The sequence below is a fragment of the Homo sapiens genome, chromosome 20 (genome assembly GCF_000001405.40).
Source record: "Homo sapiens chromosome 20, GRCh38.p14 Primary Assembly".
In the NCBI taxonomy this organism is placed as follows: domain Eukaryota; kingdom Metazoa; phylum Chordata; class Mammalia; order Primates; family Hominidae; genus Homo; species Homo sapiens.
The window spans coordinates 31,960,279-31,980,367 of NC_000020.11; the positions used below are offsets into that span (position 1 = coordinate 31,960,279).

The 20,089-nt window shown below is 48.3% G+C and overlaps 1 protein-coding gene across 1 annotated transcript in view, besides 5 other annotated features; it reads left to right on the plus strand.

The window, feature by feature from the left end:
* The first annotated feature begins 7,872 nt into the window (after positions 1–7,872).
* Positions 7,873–20,089, plus strand: part of XKR7 (XK related 7) — a 35,237-nt gene continuing 23,020 nt past the window's right edge. Inside the window, exon 1 of the mRNA NM_001011718.2 lies at positions 7,873–8,481. Within this exon, the coding sequence (NP_001011718.1) occupies positions 7,898–8,481 (584 nt within the window). The 5' untranslated portion in view covers positions 7,873–7,897. The remainder of the gene's footprint in view (positions 8,482–20,089) is intronic.
* Positions 8,146–8,323: a silencer, noted in NCBI's record as "fragment chr20:30556227-30556404 (GRCh37/hg19 assembly coordinates)". NCBI's record gives its function as "represses an EF-1alpha promoter that drives an FKBP-Casp9 reporter gene in an ReSE screen in both phorbol 12-myristate 13-acetate-treated (for megakaryocytic differentiation) and untreated K562 erythroleukemia cells {active_cell/tissue: K562 | K562(+PMA)}" and the evidence as "EXISTENCE:reporter gene assay evidence [ECO:0000049][PMID:32094911]".
* Positions 11,798–12,299: an enhancer, noted in NCBI's record as "H3K27ac hESC enhancer chr20:30559879-30560380 (GRCh37/hg19 assembly coordinates)". NCBI's record gives its function as "activates a minimal SCP1, AML or CMV promoter by ChIP-STARR-seq in naive H9 embryonic stem cells {active_cell/tissue: H9 hESC(naive)}" and the evidence as "EXISTENCE:reporter gene assay evidence [ECO:0000049][PMID:30033119]".
* Positions 11,888–12,182: a silencer, noted in NCBI's record as "tiled region #5767; HepG2 Repressive non-DNase unmatched - State 22:ReprW, and K562 Repressive DNase matched - State 19:H4K20". NCBI's record gives its function as "represses a minimal TATA promoter and a strong SV40 promoter by Sharpr-MPRA in HepG2 and K562 cells {active_cell/tissue: HepG2 | K562}" and the evidence as "EXISTENCE:reporter gene assay evidence [ECO:0000049][PMID:27701403]".
* Positions 12,300–12,799: an enhancer, noted in NCBI's record as "H3K27ac hESC enhancer chr20:30560381-30560880 (GRCh37/hg19 assembly coordinates)". NCBI's record gives its function as "activates a minimal SCP1, AML or CMV promoter by ChIP-STARR-seq in naive H9 embryonic stem cells {active_cell/tissue: H9 hESC(naive)}" and the evidence as "EXISTENCE:reporter gene assay evidence [ECO:0000049][PMID:30033119]".
* Positions 15,962–16,463: an enhancer, noted in NCBI's record as "H3K27ac hESC enhancer chr20:30564043-30564544 (GRCh37/hg19 assembly coordinates)". NCBI's record gives its function as "activates a minimal SCP1, AML or CMV promoter by ChIP-STARR-seq in primed H9 embryonic stem cells {active_cell/tissue: H9 hESC(primed)}" and the evidence as "EXISTENCE:reporter gene assay evidence [ECO:0000049][PMID:30033119]".

The following is a 20,089-nucleotide window of genomic DNA, read 5'->3' on the forward strand; positions in this document are numbered from 1 at the left end:
AGTCAAGACTCCCCCTCTCTTGGGTGGGCACAGGCAGCTCCACCCATCTGGAAAGTTAATGTGGGCCTCACTTATTCCCTCAGGTCAATGGCTATTAGTACCTGCACTCGGCCAGGCCCTGGGATCCAGTGGTACATAGGACAGGCCCAGTCCTGGACCTCACAGGCTTTCAGCCATGGGGACAAGATTGACACCATGCATGCACCCTCCTAATTGTGATAATGCTTGAATGAAAAGCTCAGAGTCCAGTGAAATTATATAGAGGGCGATCCTACCCTAAATCAGGGATGGAGATGGAGGAGGCTTTCTTGAGAAAGTGATATTTAAGCAAGATTTAAGGATGAGTAGAAATGAACTAAGCAAATGGAGAGGCTATGGGTGGTGGGGGGTTGGGGCGGGGGTAGAGAAAGTGCTTCTGCCAGAGGGAACTGCAAGTGCAAAGGCACTGTGGCAGGAGGGAGCCAGGGGAAGACCAGTGTGTCTGGAGTCCAAGGAGAACAGAAAAAAAGGGGAAGAGAGGCTGTAAAGATAGACAGAAAGCCCTGGTCAACAAAGTAAAACTGGAAAATGGACTCGTTCACTCAATAAATAATTATTGGATGCCCACTATTAGCCAGAAGCTGTGCTATAGCAGTGAACATGACAAAGTCCCTGTCCCCACGGAGCTCCCTGGGGACAGAGAAAGAATAGCTAACCTTTATAGAGGCCCTACTATGTGCCAGGAACTGTGCTGAGCACTTTGCATGCACTATTTGCATGCACTATTTCATTTCATCCTCACCACCACCCTATGAAGCAGGATACCCATTTTATTGAAGAGGAAACTGAGGCTTAGCAAGGTGTAGTGATTTACCCACCTTGAGGAGTCTTGAGGACTTATTGCAGGCCATTTAAAAAGGCCTTTTACAAGCACCCTCACTCAATGCTGGTGTATGGAGGATAACTTGGTACAGCCCCTATAGAGGGCAACTATCAAAATTATAAAACACACATGCTGTTCAATCAGCAAGTCTATCACTAGAAATTTCTTCTACAGATATCCAAAGTGGTGTGTCCACAAAGTCATTCACTGAAGTATTGTTGTAAAGGGCTGGAGAAAACCTAGCTGCCCGTGATTTAGGGGAATGATGAAGTGGATTGTGGTGTATGCATGCAATGGAATGTTGCCATACCATGAAAGAATAAGGGCCCCTCTATGCACTGATAGGAAGCAGTCTCCAAAAATGCTGTTATGTGGGGAAAACAAAGTATAGGACTGTATATAATTATGCTATCATTTGTTTTAAAATGGTGGTGGTAGGTATACAAATAGGAAGATGAGAGAGAGAAGAGACAGGCAGAGAGGGAGAGAGGGAGAGAGACAGACTCAAGAAACTAATAGCATTGATTGCCACTGGGAAGGGGAGCTGGTGGCTGGAGGATAGGGTAGGAGAGACACTTTTCAGTGTGTCCCTTTTGTACCTTTGAGTTTTTAAGCATGTGAATATATTGACCATTCACTAGATAAATAAATACAATTATGTTTATTGAAAGGACTTTCTGACTCTATGGGTAAGAAAGAGGCATTGGGATGAAGAAGACATCCCAGGCTTGTTGAGTTGAAGATGTCTTAGTGATTCCCTTTTTTCCGAATGAGGAAACTGAGGCCTACAGAGGCGAGGTGAATTGCTCAAGATCACCTGTGCAGGTAATGGCAGAACTAGGACTGGCTATTACCTGAATTGTAGTGCGGTGCCCTTTTCTGTCACACTGAGCATCTGCTATATGCTGGGCCCCACTAAGTGCTGAGGATACAGTGGTGAACAAGATAGGCATGACTGCTGCCTTCATGGAACTCACATTTTAGGCAAGAAACAAATAAATATGTATTATAATATCAGGTAGTGATCAATGCTATCAGTGAAAAATAAGGCAAGTGAAAGGATAGAGAATGTAGGGGAATGGGAGAAATGATCGAGAAAAATCCCTCTGAAGAGGCAACATTTTAGAAAGGAGAAAGATGGAGCCTTGTGAATACCTGGGAGCACAGCAGGAACAAAAGCCCCATGGAAGGAAGAAGGTTGGCTTGTTAAAGGAGACAGTGTGGCTGGAACAGAGTGAGCAAGGGAAAGACAGTGGGAGATGAGGTCAGAGAAAGGGCCAGGAGACAGAATGTACACAGGGCTGAGGACTTTGGCTCAAAGTGAGGCAGGAAGCAGTCGGAGGTTCTAAGCAGATGTGGGATCTGATGAGATTTCCCTTTTTAAAAGGCCCCTCTGGTTGAAGGTGGAGATTGAACATGAGGAGAGGAAAGAGGGGCTGCAGGGAACCCAGTGAGCAGGCAGGGGCAGTCCAGTTGTCCTGGAGAGAGGTGACAAGCCTGGGGCAGTGTGGTGGGGAGCAGAGATTGGTGTCCCCATCTGTCCAATATGGGAGTTGAACAAGATGTTCCTTTAGGGCCTTTGCAGCTTTGGGATTTGGTAATTTGGTGAACGACCTCAGAACATATCAACTAGGTGAGCCAGCCACACTGTTTTTCTTTTCTCACAATCTCCAGGTTTCTCCCCTTGGGTTCTGGGTCTGAACAGACCCAGTGATCTGAGGCTTAGATCGGGGACTCCTGCCCACCCCTCCCTGCCAGCCTGCTCCTGTCCCCACCTCCCAGGGACAGATGGGTGGGCGGCAGGAGCAGCTGGGCCTTGATGCCTGCAGGGCCCTGGGGGAGGGAATTATCTAAGAGTTCATAACCCTGCTCTGCCTTCCAGATCTTGAGTTAAAAGCCCCACATGTCACAGCTCCAAGGGGCATGGGTTGGAGGGTGGCAAAAGAGGGGTAGGGCAAGATGCTTTTCAGTCCTGTAGCTGCCCACAGGGGTTCAGTAACCTGGGGTGCTGAGGACTCCAGGAAGCTATTAGGGCTGAGGCTGAAAGCTGGTTACCCTCAGGCTGCGTCTAACCTGCTGGCTTTTTTATTTGGCCTGAAAAGTGTTTGAGAAAAGTTGGAGCCAATGCTTAAAAATCAAGGAACTTTACAGTAAAATCCAGATTTCTGACTTCTCTTGAATAATTAAAAAATCTGACCAGACTGACCACCCATTCCCAATTACAACACCCCACAGGAGCTGAGTAGCAGCTGTCCCTATTATTATTTTATTTTATTAATAAGTAAATACATGCACATGATTCCAAAAAGAAATCATAAATTGGCATGTATCATGAAGTCTCCCTCCCATCCTTGTCTGCCCTTCTCCCCAGTTCCCCATTCAGTAATCTCTTTATTTTCTCATGTAAATTTCCAAAGTTTCTTTATGCATATATAAACACATAAAAATATAGATTATTATTCCCCTTTTCACCTAGCTTCATTCCCTATTCTCTGCCTTGCTTTTCCCTGAGGAGGTCTTTCTGTATTAGGACATAGGGAGCTTGCTGCTACACGCCATCGCATTGTCAGAAGTCTCATGATTTATTTAGCTGGTCTCCCACTGATGGGCATTTGGGTCATTCCCACTATTTGCTTTTATAAACAATGCTGTATCAGTGTTCTCATGCATAGTTTGCACAGGTGCAAATATTTTAGTCGGAACTAAAGGAAGATTATTAGGAGCTGGTTCAAGCAGAGGGTGCAGTAGGCAAGAGCTGAACCCTCAGCAGGATCCCAAAGCAAGGCTAAGCAAGGAAACGTGATGAGGTCTGTTTGTAAAAGTGATTCCTGGCAAGGCACAGTGGTTCACGCTTGTAATCCCAGCACTTTGGGAGGCCAAGGCAGGAGGATTGCTTGAGCTCAGGAGTTTGAGACCAGACCGGGCAACAAAGCGAAATTCGTCTTTACAAAAAAATGTTAAAGACTAGCTGGACATGGTGGTATGTGCCTATAGTCCCAGCTACTCAGGAGGCTGAGGTGGGAGTCCAAGAGTTTGAGGCTACAGTGAGCTATGATTGCGCCACTGCACTCCAGCCTAGGCAACAATAAAGAGTGATTCCCAACAAAGGTCAGGGATGTGGGGGACTAGGGAAAGGCTCCCAGATTGGCTCCTGCCGCTTGCAAAAATATGGGACTTCTTTCTGGGCCTCAGAGTCCCTGCCTGTAAAATGAGAGAGGGGCTTGGAGAGCTGGATGAAATCCCAAAGGACTTTTCCAGTTCTGACCAGCTGTGGCCACCTTCTGTCTCCACACCAGACAGACTCAGCCTCTTCTCAGCCCTTGAACTTGCCTCGCTCCATCCTATTGCAGAGTGCTTGCCCAAACTGATCCCACCCTGGCCCCCACCACTGGAACATCACCTCTGTGCACTCCTATTGGTTTTTGTCTGAATTGCTGAACTGGCAGGCCACTCGGAACACACCAGCCCAAACCCCTTCAGGGTAGAGTCCCCTGTACAATACCCCAGACAGGTGGGTCACCCTCATACCTGATCCACACTTCAAATCCTTCTCCTTGTCACTCCCCTAAGTCACCTGAACTTTTAGCATAGAGTTCTTGAATGCCAACTCTGCTACTTCCTAACAAATGGCCTTGTGACAGTACCTCCCTGAATTTCAATTTCTACCTGAAAAATGGCTGGTTTGAGGATAACATGTGATGGTATTAGTAAAGTTCTTAGCACAGCTCCTGACACACAGAAAGGCTTAATAATTCCATAAGTCACTGCCCTTGTCTGAATAAGTTACCTTGTTTATAAAATGGAGAGAACTTATAGAACCTATTCTTTTTTTTTTTTTTTTTTTGCGATGGTATCTCACTCTGTCACCCATGCTGGAATGCAGAAACATGATCATGGCTCACTACAGCCTCAACTTCCTGGGCTCCAGTGATCCTCCCATCTCAGCCTCTCTGATAGCTGGGACTACAGGTGCATGCCACCACACTCGGCTAATTTTTGTATATTTTGTAAAGATGGGGCCATATTGCCCAGGCTGTTCTCAAACTCCTGGGCTTGAACAATCCATCCACCTCCGCTTCGTAAAGTGCTGGGCTACAGGCATGAGCCACCATGTCCAGCCTCAGAATTTATAGGGGTGATCACTCACTCACTTATTCATTCATTCATTCATTCACTTAATGATTTTTGTAGAATACCTACTGAGTGCCCAGCATAGCACTGGGCACAAGGAGATTTGGTGGTGAAGAAAATAGATGAATTGTTCCAACCCTCATGGAGCTCCCAGGCAATTCCGAACAGGCAAACATACAAAGATAAATTGCCAGTGTGCTGATATGAAGAAGGAAAAAACAAAGATATTATGGAAGCTCATAACAGGGTTGTGTCAGGGAAACTTCTCTGTGAGATAAGGATCAGGGCATGGCTGGGTGGGAAAGCCAGGAGGGTTTCCTGAAGGAGACATCACCCTAGTCTAATAATTAGCTTTAATTATCCTCACCACAGCCCTAGAAGGAAGGCACTGGTTATCTCTCATTTTACTTTTCTCTGAAGTTAAGAGAAATTAAGTGACTTGCCCAAGGTGATGGAGCTAGGAAGGGATGAATGGGTTTTTGTTTTGTTTTGTTTTGTTTTTGTTTTTGTTTTTTGAGATGGAGTATCACTCTGTTGCCCAGGCTGGAGTGCAGTGGTCTGATCTCGGCTCACTGCAACCTCCGCTTCCCAGGTTCAAGCAATTCTCCTGCCTCAGCCTCCCAAGTATCTGGGACTACAGGTGTGCACAACCATGACCGGCTAATTTTTGTATTTTTAGTAGAGACGGGGTTTCACTATGTTGGCCAGGCTGGTCTCGAACTCCTGACCTCGTGATCCACCCGCCTCGGCCTCCCAAAGTGCTGGGATTACAGGTGTGAGCCACCGTGCCTGGCTGATGCATGGGTTTTAAACCCAGATTTCCTGGCTGTGGAGTCTCCGACCTAAAAACCTGTCTTCTGCTGCCTCTTTGAATAGGCAAATCCTGGGATATAGAGCATCATGGGAAGTAGAGAGGCTGCCTTCACTTGGATGGGGCCCAGAAGTGGGACTCTAACTTTGCCGTATCCTATCCAGACACCAGTGAAAAGGAAGAGATCCAGACACATCCAAGAACTGACTGAGGACCCTCAGGGTGGCTGGGGCCAGAGTTTCTCTCCTGCCCGCTACCATCCAGGGCTCTGTGCACTTCATTAGTCTCCCTGCCTAGGGTTGTGGGAGAGAAAGAAAAATCAGAGATATTCCTTTCTAAATTACACTGGGATTCAGACCTTCCAGCCCGACCCACAAACACCCTTGCTCACTAAACATGCCTGTCAATAGGCAACTGTCAGCCTTGAATCCATCCTGGAAAACTCCCTTAATCCCTAACTCTTTCCCCTCTGTTTTCAGCCTTGGGCAACAGCTGGTACCCCAACCTCCTAAGCATGCTGAGACCAAAACAGTCCCTGGGCATGAAAAGGATGCCAGGCTGCAGGACTGCAGTTGGCTTCTCCTTCCTGACCCAGGGCAGCTCTCTCCTTTCATCCTCTCTTCCCTGCCACTCTGAGGCAGGTTGGTTCTCCCACTTCCCTTCCTCAGCTCCTCTTTCTTCAACCCCTACCCTTTGCCCCTCCTCTCTCCCTCCCCTTGAAGGGTAGCAAAGCCTATTCTGGAGCCAGATGATGGGCATGAATTTGGCTGTAGCTACTAATTGTGTCACCCTGAACAAATTAATTTCTCTGTGACTTAGTTTCTGCATCTGTAAAATGGGAGGAAAAAAGGAGCTACCTCACAAATTGTGAGGGTAGAATGAGTTAGTAATTGTAGTGTTTTGGACAGTGCCAGGCAAAGAGACACTACTATATGGATGTTTGTATAATAAATGCCTGGATACATCCAATCTGATCAAAGGCAGAGATGGGAAATGAGCTTGGGGTATCCAGGATGTGTGGGAACTCCACCCCCTCTCATAGGTTACTGCTATAATCTCCTTCTGGTCTCACCAGCCCCAGGCTGCTTCCTTGTGATCGCTTCTCTACTCTGGCTGCTGGGTCTTCTTTCTAAATCCTGATGTGACCACATAACTCCCCTGCTCAAATACTGCAGTGGTTCCCCATTGCCTGCTGGATAAAGGCCACCTTCTGGCCCCTTAGGATCTCATCCTCAGAACTCTGCAGCCCTATCTTCCCCATCTTTCTCCTCCCCTGGATCTGAGATCCAGACTTGCTTGAAGATATGCCCTCCAGTCTCAGGCCTCCAGGCCTTTGCACTTGCTCTTTCCTCCACCCGGTGTTTCCTCCCATCCCTTTCCTCTTGATGTTGGATGTTGTCCCCTTCCCTCCCCCTACTCTACTAGGGCTGTAGCCAGATGAAGGCAGTCCCCGAGAGAGGGAAAGCGGAGAGTAAGGAAGAGACAGCAACTCAGAGCTGCAGCTTTCTCAGCTTCAAAACGAAGACAATAAGAAAAGGGGACCCCTCAAGATCAAAGGAGGGGATGGAACAATATGTGAGCACTCAGGAAACTGGAAATGAGCGTTAGCATGGAGTGACTGCTAAAGGGTTACTGGGGGGCCCGCCCAAGTCCCCCAGCTCCTTTCTTCCAAGTCCCCCACCCACCCCCCCGTCAGACCCAGGCCACTGGAGGTGAACACAGGAGAAAAACGAAGTGGAGAGAATGGGAAGGGGGAGGCGATAAACAAAAAAGAAGGAAGTGCAGTCCGAGGGGAGATGAGAGACAGAAAGCATGGGGTTGGAGCCCCGCGCCTCCGAGGAAGGAGGGAGAGGGTGACCTGGGGTGCGCCCCGCCTCCCCTGCTTCCGCATTCCCGGGGGCTGCCCCCCCTTCGGCCGCAGCTCAGGCGGGTGGGGGCGGGGCGGGGCGGCGCCGAGGAGAATGAATAATTGAAGTGGAGGGGAGGAGGAAGAAGAGGAGAAGGAGGAAGAGGAGCCGCCCGCGCAGGGTCCTCCCCACGCCGCACCCCCCTCCGCCGCCCGGAAGTCGCTCCCCGCCTCCCTCTCCGCCAACATGGCCGCGAAGTCGGATGGAGCGGCGGCCTCGGCCAGCCCGGACCCGGAGGGGGCTGCCGGTGGAGCCCGGGGCAGTGCCGGCGGGCGCGGGGAGGCGGCGGCGGCGGCCGGGCCCCCGGGGGTCGTCGGGGCGGGCGGCCCGGGGCCGCGCTACGAGCTGCGGGACTGCTGCTGGGTGCTGTGCGCGCTGCTCGTGTTCTTCTCCGACGGTGCCACGGACCTGTGGCTGGCGGCCTCCTACTACCTGCAGAATCAACACACCTACTTCAGCCTCACCTTGCTGTTCGTGCTCCTGCCCTCGCTGGTCGTGCAGTTACTGAGCTTCCGCTGGTTCGTCTACGACTACTCGGAGCCCGCAGGGTCCCCGGGACCCGCCGTCAGCACCAAGGACAGCGTAGCCGGCGGAGCCGCCATCAGCACCAAGGACAGCGCCGGCGCCTTCCGGACCAAAGAAGGCAGCCCCGAGCCGGGTCCCCAGCCTGCGCCCTCCTCGGCCAGCGCCTACCGCCGCCGCTGCTGCCGCCTCTGCATCTGGCTGCTGCAGACCCTCGTCCACCTCCTGCAGCTCGGCCAGGTCTGGAGGTAGGAGAAGCGCAGGTGGAGGGACCTGAGCCCGAGGAGTGGGGGTGGCGAAGGGCTACCTGACGTCCCAGCCCTGATCTGACCTTTCCGGGCTACCCTCCTGTCCTGACCTCCCCCCCTCCCCACCCCATTGCAGCTCTAATTTCTTCTCAGTCGGCTTCTCCCTGACCTCTGCCCCCAAGCCCTGACCAACCCCAGTGCCATCCGGTCTGACCTGGCCTTCGAGAGGGGAGGGGATGGTTCAAGAAAGGAGAGAAAGAGATCCTCAGGGGTGTGCGTGAGTGGGGAGGACCCGGGGCTCATGAAGATAAATGTGAAGCTTAAAACAGGACCACAGGGCCCTATTCTGCCATAACCCACTCCTCTCTGCCTGAGTGCCAAGCCTGGGCTCAGGAAAGATCTCAGAAGTCCTTTCCTGCTCGCAAAGATCCTCAGTTCAGAATTGCAGCTCATTCACAACCTGCAAGGAGAGTCACAGAATTTGAGACAGCTAAATGAATATCCCGCCTAAACTTCTTGGACTTTTTGGAGAAAGATATGCTGGACCCAACTGGGGAGCCCTCAGGCTCCTTCTACTTCCTATGACCCCCTCTCCCCCAGCTAAGGGTCCTCCCCTTCCAACAGGGCCAAGGGGATTTGGAATCTTGAATCTGAGATTAGATGGCCACTGGCTGCCCTTTAATCCCGAACTGGTAAGGCAAAACTGAGGCTTTGTTCAAGCTGCCCACTTTCAGTCTTCTTCCTCTGCCAGAACTGAGGGTGCCTGCTGCACTGAGTTAAGTGGAGAGAGGAGGAATTCTAAACCTAGGGCTCCTCTTGAATCTGAATTGCTATTTAGTAGCTTAGGCCCTTCTGTGCTCTAACAGAATGAACTTGCTTACTATATGATCTTAGGCAAGCCGCCCTCCTCCTTCCAAGCCTCAGTTTCCTCTTCTGTGAAATGAGGGAGAATCCCTACTCCTCTTATCTCATTGTCTTATCATTGCATTATTCTTACCTGTTGGGATGGTCAGGTGAGAGGTCTGCATGAGGGCCCTGCAGACTGTAACATTTTAAGAGTGTGGGGAAAGCATGGAAAAAGTCACTCTAGAGATATAAAGGGTGATTACTGCTGTTGTTATATTTATTCTGCTACTTGTTAACACATTCTGCCTAACTCAGAAGATTCAGTTTGGGGCTGAGGGTTGAAAACAGGACTCCTAGGGTTTGTCCCAGCTGCTCACTTGCTGTGTCACTCTTGTTGTGTTGTCGAATCTCTCTGCCTTTGTTTCCCTATCTATTCCTGCCAAGATGATGTGTATATTCCACTTAGCTTATCCTGGAGGAAAAGGGGGCGGAGCTCTATCCACACAAGGTGGTGTTATTATTATTAGCGTGACACATAAAAATATTCATGTCTACATCCAGGAACTAATCTGCATTTATCATTCTGTGCCCGAGTGGACAGATGGTGAAAGATATTTTTAGATTCTGAAATGGTAACTTCCTATTCTTGGTAGGAAGCTTCATCCCCCTTTTCCTTCAGCCTAAAGTGGGCCAGATGCCCCTCGACTCACTGGCTATCCCCCCATTCAGAATCCACTTACAAGAAACTAATACTTCTCTTCTTTGTTAAGCATAAACTGAGTTTCCCTCAAATAGGGCAAAAATGGCCATGGGTGTGGGGTCCCAGGGGAGTAGCTAGAATTGCTAAGGATCCCCTCAGCTCTATGGTTTCTTGGATATGGATAAAAGGACTAGCTATTTCTACTATCTCCCATTTGCAAAATGAGGAGGCTGGGATGAGATAAGTTTGTAGGGATAACAATCTAATAGCTCTTAGGTTGAATGTGGCTTGTGGAAGTGTTTTGTGTGGCTTGCATAGTATTTTAAAAACCCAGAGTCGTAGCTTCCCTTTAAAAAAATTGGATCTAGCAGTATCAATCCTGTAACAATTTAGAAAGAGTCTATGTGCTCTAATTTGTCCATCTTTCCCTTTGATCATATCTGTACTATTTCACTTAGACATGAAAGCCCTAATTTACAGTTCTATAACAATTATTTTATTAAACACTGACTTTGTGCCAAGCCTACTGGTTGCCTTTTTACCTGCTTTATTTCCTGTACCCCTTCTAATCATCCTGTCATGTGGTTAGCATTATAATTTCTACTTGACAGATGAGGGAATGGAGGCTCAGAGAGGGGGCATCCTTGTCCAAGGTCACACAGCTAGGAACTTGAAGAGCTGAGACTCCAGGCTCTCTGCCTTTAAAGCCTGAGTTCAATTTATCCACCTTGTAATTCTGCCACTAAAGTGTCCCTCAAGCTTAAAGAAGTATGAATCTGAGATTCCAAGATTCCAGTATGATAGAAAGTCAGGGCTTCTGTTGCACTGAGATAAGAATGTGAAAAGAGGGGCAGGGAGTTGAACTATGTGGGTGAGGACGGGAACAGTGTGTATTGTGGGGAAAAGGCTGGATTCGGGGGTGGTCTGGTCAGGAGGCTGACATCTTTATCCTAGTTTGTAACTATAGTTTGCTGGGTGACCTTGGGCAAGGCTCTTTCCATCTTTGGGTCTCGGTTTCCCTGTGTGTGAAATGAGATTCAATGTGATGACCTTAAGAGTTTCCCATTCCTGAAATTCTGACTCTGGGTCTATTGCCAAAGCAAAAGCCTCTGGGCCCTTGCCCCCAAAATCTTTGGATTCTAAAATGGCTAAGGGCCTGGATAAATGGAGGGAAAACCCAGAGAAGGTATAGAGAAGCTGCAGGGGCTGGCATTCCTAGAAATTAAGCAATGTTGGCCCAGCACATTTGCTTACCACGTGAGATGTTCCCACAGATGTTCTGAGTGGTGGGGCCTGGGGTAATGAAGAGGGAGATGTGTGATTGAGTCCTCCAGAATCACACCTGGGAGGCTAGGCAGTCACTCACCTCCTGATCCCATTTCCTCAATTCTGAATAAAATAATTATAATCATGAAGATATTTTTCAACCTCTTAGACTTGTAAAATCCTGAATTAAAAATTCAAATGCTTTGAGGACCCAGGCAGGTAACAGACCATAAGACCATAAGATACAAGGGGTGTCAGACAAGAGGACATTCAGGGGCAAGTAGTGTCCGAGGAAAAGGGAAGCTCCAGCTGATCATGCCATGAGAAATCGTGGACCCAGTCTTGATTTCTCAAGAGAAATGGGAAATTGGGATTTTTCCGTGAACTCTCCAAAATTTAACTACTAATTAAAATGTTTAAAAATAGTGTCAACCAAAGGAAACATATTTATTAGCCTGTCTTCTTTGTAACCTCTGGTTTAGCTCTTCAAATTGATAAGGTCTTTTCACACAGAAGATTTTATTACTAATTTAAACATAAAATGAAGCTCTGAAGAGAGAGAGGAGGAGAAAGCATACACAGACACTGCACACCTACCGTGTCCCCACAGGCCCTGTGTGAGTGTTTCAGGCATGTGATCTCATGTTACTCTGAAACCCTCCCCCCTGGTGACTATTGATATACCCATTTATCAGATAAGGAACCTTGTCCAAAAGTCACCCACTGAGGAAGTGAGGAAAGGTGATCAGTCCCAAACCTAGCTCTATCTTTTACACCACACACTGGCTACTTTGGGACATGCCAGAACAATATCTTTGTGCACAGAGAGATTGAACTCTGAGGGAACAGCAAACAGATCCTCTGGCGGGGCACGAAGCTGGCTGTGGCCTGGACACCAACCTGCAACTTCATCCCTCCCTTCCCTTTAAACTCTCTGAGCTGTTAAACTGCCCAGGGTTCTTAAGCTAATTAAAGTCCTAACCCTGTCCCCTCTGACCCTGTAGGCAGCAGAGCAGTAAGCCATGAATCCTGCTTTTCCTAATCTTGAGCTCAGTGGGCCCCAGCTTCACCCAGATAAGCATGGTTTGCTAAGCCAATTAGTGGGAGACGATCTGACATGGGATTCCTGCCAGGCTTTCGGGATCTGGGAACCCCAAAATGGGGAGAAAATTAGGCAATTGGGATTTAGGGGCCCTCCCTCTAATGCCCTCTCTATGCATAGGCCCAGACACTGCACTCTATGTCACCTAAGAAGCCCTGCATGACAGAGAAGTTCTGGAATGAGTTAGTGACCTATTGGAAGGAAATGTCAGGCTCTGGATTTCCCCTCTGGGAAACTACATTCTTGGCATAACGGTTGAGAGGGTTGAGAGCACGGACTCTAGATTCAAGTGTCCTCAGTTTAAATCCAGACTTTACTACTTCTTATATGTGACCTTGACAAGGCAAATAATCTCTCATCCGTTGTAAACTAGGGACCAAAATTGTACCCACCCGCCTCTTAGGTTGTTTCAAGGTTTAATGAGATAATGTGTAAGGGTTCAGCAAAGGGCTCATTCCATCGTTAAATGCTCAGAAACTGCTGGCAATGATTAGTGCATTAGCTTGGGCTTTGCTCCCTGTGGAACAAAGCTTTGTTCACGGAGCACATGGCAGGACAGCAAGGGGGTCCTGAAGTCCCTTGAAGCCATAATGACATGGCAGTCATTCATTTAATCTGCAGTCATTCATTCAGCAGACATTTATTAAGCACCTGCTGTATACCAGGCACTGTTCTAAGTGCTGGGAATAGAGTGGTGAACAAGACAAAGTCCTTGCCCTCTTGGAGCTCAATAGCCTAATGAAGGAACCAATAAGAAAATAAACTATGATATATATTATATGGGATATATAATACCTGGGCCAGATCGTGATAAGTGCTATGGGGAAAAAAATGAAACAGGGCAGGGAGCTACTGGAGTGCCAGGGAGAGGTGTGGCTCTTTGAGATAGGGTGGTCAGGGTGGACCTCTCCAAGGAGGTGGCATGTGGGCAAAGGGCTGCACGAGGTGAGGACAAGCTGTGTAGAGGTCTTGGGGAGGGTTTTGCAGGCAAAGGAAAAGGGAAGGGCAAGGAGAAGGCCTGTGTGGCAGAAATAGAGTGAGGGGAGCATGTTTGGAGATGCTGGTGGACAGATTGGCAGGGGCGAGGTCATGCAGGGCCTCAGAGGCCATGGCAAGGACTAGGGCTTTTACTCTTCATGACACGGGGAGCCCAGGATAATTTGGCCAGAGAAGGAACATGATCTTGACTTGTGTTTTGCAATGTCCACTCTGGCTGCTGGGTGGGGAATAGACTGGAGGGGCCGGGCACAGTGGCTCACGCTTGTAATCCCAGCACTTTGGGAGGCCGAGGCAGGCGGATCACGAGGTCAAGAGATCGAGACCATCCTGGCCAACATGGTGAAAGCCGGTCTCTACTAAAAATACAAAAATTAGCTGGGCATGGTGGTGCGCACCTGTAATCCCAGCTACTCGGGAGGCGGAGGCAGGAGAATCGCTTGAACCTGGCAGGTGGAGGTTGCAGTGAGCCGAGAGTGAGCCACTGCACTCCAGCCTGGGTGACAGAGCAAGACTCCATCTCAAGAGAAAAAGCATAAAAAAGAGAGAGAATAGACTGGAGGGAGGCAGAGTAAGCCTGGAGATGCATGAGGAGGCTGCTACAAAGATGCAGGAGAGAGACAATGGAGACTGGATCAAACTGTAGCAACAGGGATGGGGGTCTGCTTCAGGCTGAGCTAATGCGACCTCTTTCCTTCTTTGGTCCTCAGTCTCTCCACTGGGGCCAGAGTTAATGGTTCAGCATCCACTCTCTGGAATCAGCCATATCCTGCACCTGCCACTTTCTGTGATTTGGGGCAAGTGGCATGACTTGTCTGTGCCTTGATTTTCTCATCTGCTAAATGGACACTCTAATAATAGCACCTATCGCATGGTGCTTGAGGTAGTAGAAAATTAAATAATGTTTAGTGTTCAGCACAGTGCCTGGAACATAGGAAGTTCTCAACAATGATAATTAGACATTGTTATTTGTAAAACAGGTCAGGGGTTGGATTCCATCATTTTCAAACTGTGTTTTATAGCCCTGTCTCCATCATTTTAACCCAAGTATCTCTGAATGTCTCTTTTATGACATGTCTAAGATTTTGTTTTGAATAATCTGTCCTACAGCTGACACTTGATTACAGTCCCCTGAACTCAGTGACCATCCATGAGGTTCCTCCCTGCTCTGCCTTTGTAGGGTTGTTCCAGTTTGGGCCTCACCACTCACCTCCTGGGAGACCCCTCTCCAGGAGGCTCTCCACCCCCACCCTGCCTCCTCCCCTTGCCCATCCAGCTGCCATGGACCATTAGAGCTGCTCCTAACAGACACAGCGGCGGCGGTTGGGCCCAGCGTCCCCTGTTTGATCTATAAAGACCACACAGGAGAAGCTCTGGGGAGTGGGAGGGCGGAGGGCTGCCAGGAAATGGCTTTGAACCCAGCATCTGGGGCGCAGGTCCCTGGGGAGAGGAGGGAGGATGGTTGGGATCTTCTCTGGCCTCTCTGTTCACCACCCTGCCTTTGTTAGGGCATCCAAATTCCTCCCCTGGGAAATCCTATCAGCCTCCGGTTATCACCCCCAACCCCCAATCCCGCCTCCACCTGCAGGCAGAGCGATGGCTCCCCTATGTCCCTAGAGCAAGTCCCTGTGCTTTAGCCTGGCTTTGAGGCCCTTTGCCCCCTGATCTTTTGTCTTTCCTCCCTGCTCTACCCACATGACAACCTGCTCCCCACCCCCTTGCTCTCCATTGCCTGCAGTCCTTCCTCCAGCAACACCCAACACCAGTTTCCAGTCTCCTCCCAGTGAAATTCTGCACGTCCTTCCAGGCTGAGCTCAAATGCCACCTCTTCTAAGAAGCTTTCTCTGAACAAATCCCACACATGCTACCCTCTGCCCCCCAGAAACCACCTCCCACTCACTCAACCAGGCAAAAGTCATTGTTCTAAAGTGGAAAATGTTTGGCTGTTTTGTCTGTTGATCAAAAAGCTATACATTCTTGTTGAAACCTCAGGCAATATAGAAAAGGCATAAAGAGATTCCCCTCTGCTCATTATCTCTTGGGGCGGGAGGGGTGGGGTCAGGGGAGATTTCCACTTATTAAGTAGATATTTCTTGCATTGCTTGAAGATTTTGCCTCTGGTTTTCAGTTAGCTAAAAAAATGCATGTATAGATTTGTCTATTTTTTAAAAATCAGTATAAAAATGAAATTTATTATACTTACTGTTTATTAAGACTTAGATTCGATCATTTCTCTTGACAATCCTGCCAGGTAGAGACTGCGAGGATGAAGAAGAGAACTGTAGACCCAAAACCCTGGCTCTGCCACATATGAGCTGTGTGGCTTTGAGCAAGTCACTTAACCTTTCTGGACCTCAGCTTTCTCATCTGTGAAATGGGCATCATAACAATCCCTACCCAGGTCTCCATTGTGAAGGCTGATTCAATTAATATATATGTGCTCTGCACAGTACTCAGCACATAGTGGTGCTCAGTTAGTGTTTGCTAGCATTATTGGCCCCATTTTACAGATGTGGAAATTGAGGCACAGAGAAGAGTGGCCTTCCAATTCATAAGGAGCAAAGCTAGGGTTTGAAGCCATGAGGTCAGGCTCCCAAACCCACATGTGGAACCACCAAACTATACTGTCTTCTGCTAGTTAAGTGTATTCTTACAAACAATCAATCATGTATTGTTTAGAGAAGCAGAAGAAAAAATATCAGAAAAGTATTTTTATTTTTTTTTATTTTTTTTGAGACAGAGTCTCGCTCTGTCTCCCAGGCTGGAGTGCAGTGGCTCGATCTCGGCTCACTGCAACCTCTGCCTCCCCGGTTCAAGCGATTCTCCTGCCTCAGCCTCCCGAGTAGCTGGGATTACATGTGCCCACCCCCACACCCAGCTAATTTTTGTATTTTTAGTAGAAACGGGGTTTCACCATATTGGCCAGACTGGTCTCGAACTTCTGACCTCAGGCGATCCACCTGCCTCGGCCTCCCAAAGTGCTGGGATTACAGGCGTGAGCCACCACACCAGGCCAGAAAAGTATTTTTAAATTTGTATTTTAATGTAAAGTCCCCACTGTTAACATTCTGGGTTCTTCCCCTCAGACTTCCTCCCCAGGCACAATTACTCATTCCTTTTTACCCCACAGCACTGATCACATTTTGTTGTGATCATCTACCCACCTGGCTGGCTTTCCCGCTGGATCACAAACCCCTGGGGAGTTGAGGCTTTGTTGCTTTTTCTTTCTGTCTCCCATGGTGACTAGCACAGATTAGATCCTCTGTTACTGTTGGTGGTCTTGCACCCAGCCAGCTCTAGTGAGGTCTATGGTGGGTTCTTGCAACATGAAGCCAGTTGAAGCTGGCATTTGGCAGGGTGCTGAATGTGCGAGCTTTCTGCAGTTGTGGACACAGCACTGAGGTCTGTTAGGCCTACATCCACAGCCTTTAAAACTGTCCACGGCCTAAGGCTAAGGAAAGAGGAGGTAGTAGGAACAACCCTGGGTTGGGTTCCCAGAATGATACAGTTGTGGCTGACTTAGGAGATGGAGGAAGTCAAGTTCCTTGTATGCAGTAGGTACTCAATAAATGTTGGTGTGAACTGGATTGAACCTTTGAGATCAGAATCTTGGACAAGTCACTTCGCACCTAGGGTTCAGTTACTCCATCTGTAAAGTAACTTCAGAATTCTGGTGAGTTTTCCTAGGACTTGGACAAGAAAGCAGAGTAGCTGAGAGCTTGGGGCACCAGCGCAGATCAAGGAGCCATGACATCCTAGTTGCGTGACCCTGGGGAAGTTGCTCCACCAGCCACAGCTCCTGTCTCATCTGTGAAATGGGGATAGTGATAGTATCCACATCTTAAGGTTTTTATAAGGATGTCTTGAGATAATGTAAATGCACAGGGCTTGTCACATAGTATATGCCCAGAAAACATCTACTACAATGACTATTATTATTGGCCCAAGTCACAGCCCATCCTACTTGCTTAGTAACAAGATGGGGTTAGGACAGGGGCATAAGGGGTCCTAACTCTCACCCACTGACCCCCTATCGAGGAAGGAGAGTTGTTCTATGGCTCCAGAGATACTGTGAGGGCAGATGCGAACTCAAAGTAAAGGGAGGCACAGTCTTTGGAATAGAAGCAAGAACACACTGTCAATCAGGCTGTTCCCGAGGGTGTGAACTCCACATCAGCAGAGGTGTCCAGATGGAAGTGGCTAACTTTGGCAGGGATGCTGTATCAGGGACTCTTGCTTCAGTCTGGAGGATAAACTAGATGATCTCTAAAGCCCCTTAGTTCTGTGTCTGTAGCTCTATCCTTGGGACTTTATGATACTCGCTTCCATGATGTTTAACCACCAGACCACAGGTTGCAAATCAGTGGCCTATGGGCAAATCCAGCCTCAAGAGTGTTGGTTTGGTCCGCAAAGGACTTTTTTCTCCTACTTTTTTTTTTTATTTTTTTTGCTTTTTGAGATGGTCACGCTCTGTTGCCTAGGCTGAAGTGCAGTGGCACGATCTCAGTTCACTCTAGCCTCCGCCTCCCAGACTCAAGCGATCCTCCTGCCTCAGCCTCCTGAGTAGCTAGGACTACAGGTACACACCACCATGCCCAGCTAATTTTAAGACAATTTTTTTGTAGGGGCAGGGTCTCACTATATTGCCCAGGCTGGTCTTGAACTCCTGGGCTCAAGTGTTCCTCCTGCCTTGGCCTCCCAAAGTGCTGGGATTGCAGGCGTGAGCCACTGTGCTGGTTCTTCTCTTACTTTTTATTAAAACCTTTTATTGCAGAAAAATTTAAACACTTGAAAAAGTTGAGGAAATGGGATAATGATCCCCTACCACCTCTCTTCAACAATTATTGATTCCTGGCCAACCTTGTTTTATCTAGGGCAGCACCATCCAGTAGAACTTTCTGCAGTCATGAAAATGTCCTATATCTGCACTATCCAATATAGTAGCCACTATAGAGCACTTGGCATGTGGCCGGTATGACTGAGGAACTAAATTTTAAACTCTTTACTTGTAATTATTTACTTGTAATTAATCAAAATCTAAATAATCATACATGGCAAGCATTGAACATGTAGGTGTTAGAGAGCATAGTTGCAGGCCCCACCCCATTTCCTTCCCTTCCGTGTTATTTTCAAGCAAATTTCAAACATCTCTAAAAAGATAGACTTCAAAAACATCGCTAAGTTGCTGGGCATGGTGGCTCATGCCTGTAATCCCAGCACTTTGGGAGGCCGAGGTGGGAAGATCACTTGAGGTCAGGAGTTCAAGACCAGCCTGGCCAACATGGTGAAACCCTGTCTCTACTAAAAATACAAAAATTAGCTGGGCATGGTGGCACACGCCTGTAGTCCCAGCTACTCAGGAGGCTGAGGCAGGAGAATTGCTTGAACCTGGGAGGCGGAGGTTGCAGTGAGCTGAGATCACACCACTGTACTCCAGCCTGGGCGACAGAGTGAGACTCTGTCTCAAAAAAAAAAAAAAATTGTTAAAATATGTAATACTGCTATCACACCTACAAAATGGAATTATGATTTCTTTTTTTCTTTTCTTTTTCTTTTTTTTTTAAAGAGAAGGTTTCACTCTGCCACCCAGGCAAGAATGCAGTGCCACAGTCATGGCTTACTGAAGCCTGGAACTCTTGGGCTCAAGAGATCCTCCCACCTTGGCCTCCCAAAGTGCTGGGATCACAGGCATAAGCCACTACACCAGCCTAATTTCTTAAAAATTCATATGGTATTTCTTTAATTTATTGTGAACATTTCCAAATTGAGATTTTCCCCTTGTTTTTCTTTTTGCATAAATATCCTAATATCCACCTATTCTTGAAAAATTGAAACTCCAGCCATGTTGGGCTCATATTCTCCCAGGGCATCAGTTGGCTGGAACTGACAGGTGGCTGCCTCTGTAGACAGGCCACATAGTTCCCCAGTCCCTCATAATGATAGCAGCTGAGCCCCTTTAAGCATTGGCATTTGAGACCCTGGCTACCATGTAGAATCTCACACCCAGACTAGGGGCAGATACAAGTGATGTTTTCTCCCTGCCTTGGTCCCGTGATACCTTCAGATGCCATCGGGAGGATGGAATCTAACCCCCTCCCCCACTGGCTTATGACATACCAAATCCACATGAGGATATCAAGCAAAGAGAGAAAGGGGGAACAAAAGGCCTTGGGCTAGAGTATGGGGTCCTGGGTTTTAGTCTCTTCTCTGCACCCATTTCACAGATGGGGAAACTGAGGTCCAGAGAGGAGAGGAGAGCTGGCTGCATTCATACAGTGAGGGATGTGGGAGGCCAGAACCTAGTCCCCAAATGCTTTGCTGAAGAGGGGCTGCCCATTCCTCTGCTGTGCAAAAGAGGGACGCTGGCTGGGAGCTGATGAGGGTGAGTGGGATGGGAGAGGGTCTCAGCTTCTCAGTTAGGGCCTAAAATTAGTGGCTGGGAAATGTTTGGCTTTAGCCCAGAAAAAAAAAAAAAAAAAAAAGAGGTGCTGTGACTCTGTAGGGGGCTGCTAAGGAGGAGGGAGACAGCCCAGCTCCAGCTCCCAGCACCACATGAAATGGGAGCCAAACGTGTAAAATCACATTCTTTACTGACATTTATGACTCATTTGGCTGACAACCCCAGGAAGGTCCTATTTTGTATTCTTGCAGGAGCACTCAACGTTAAGGGGTAGGCAGATGGGGAGGGGGCCTCAGGG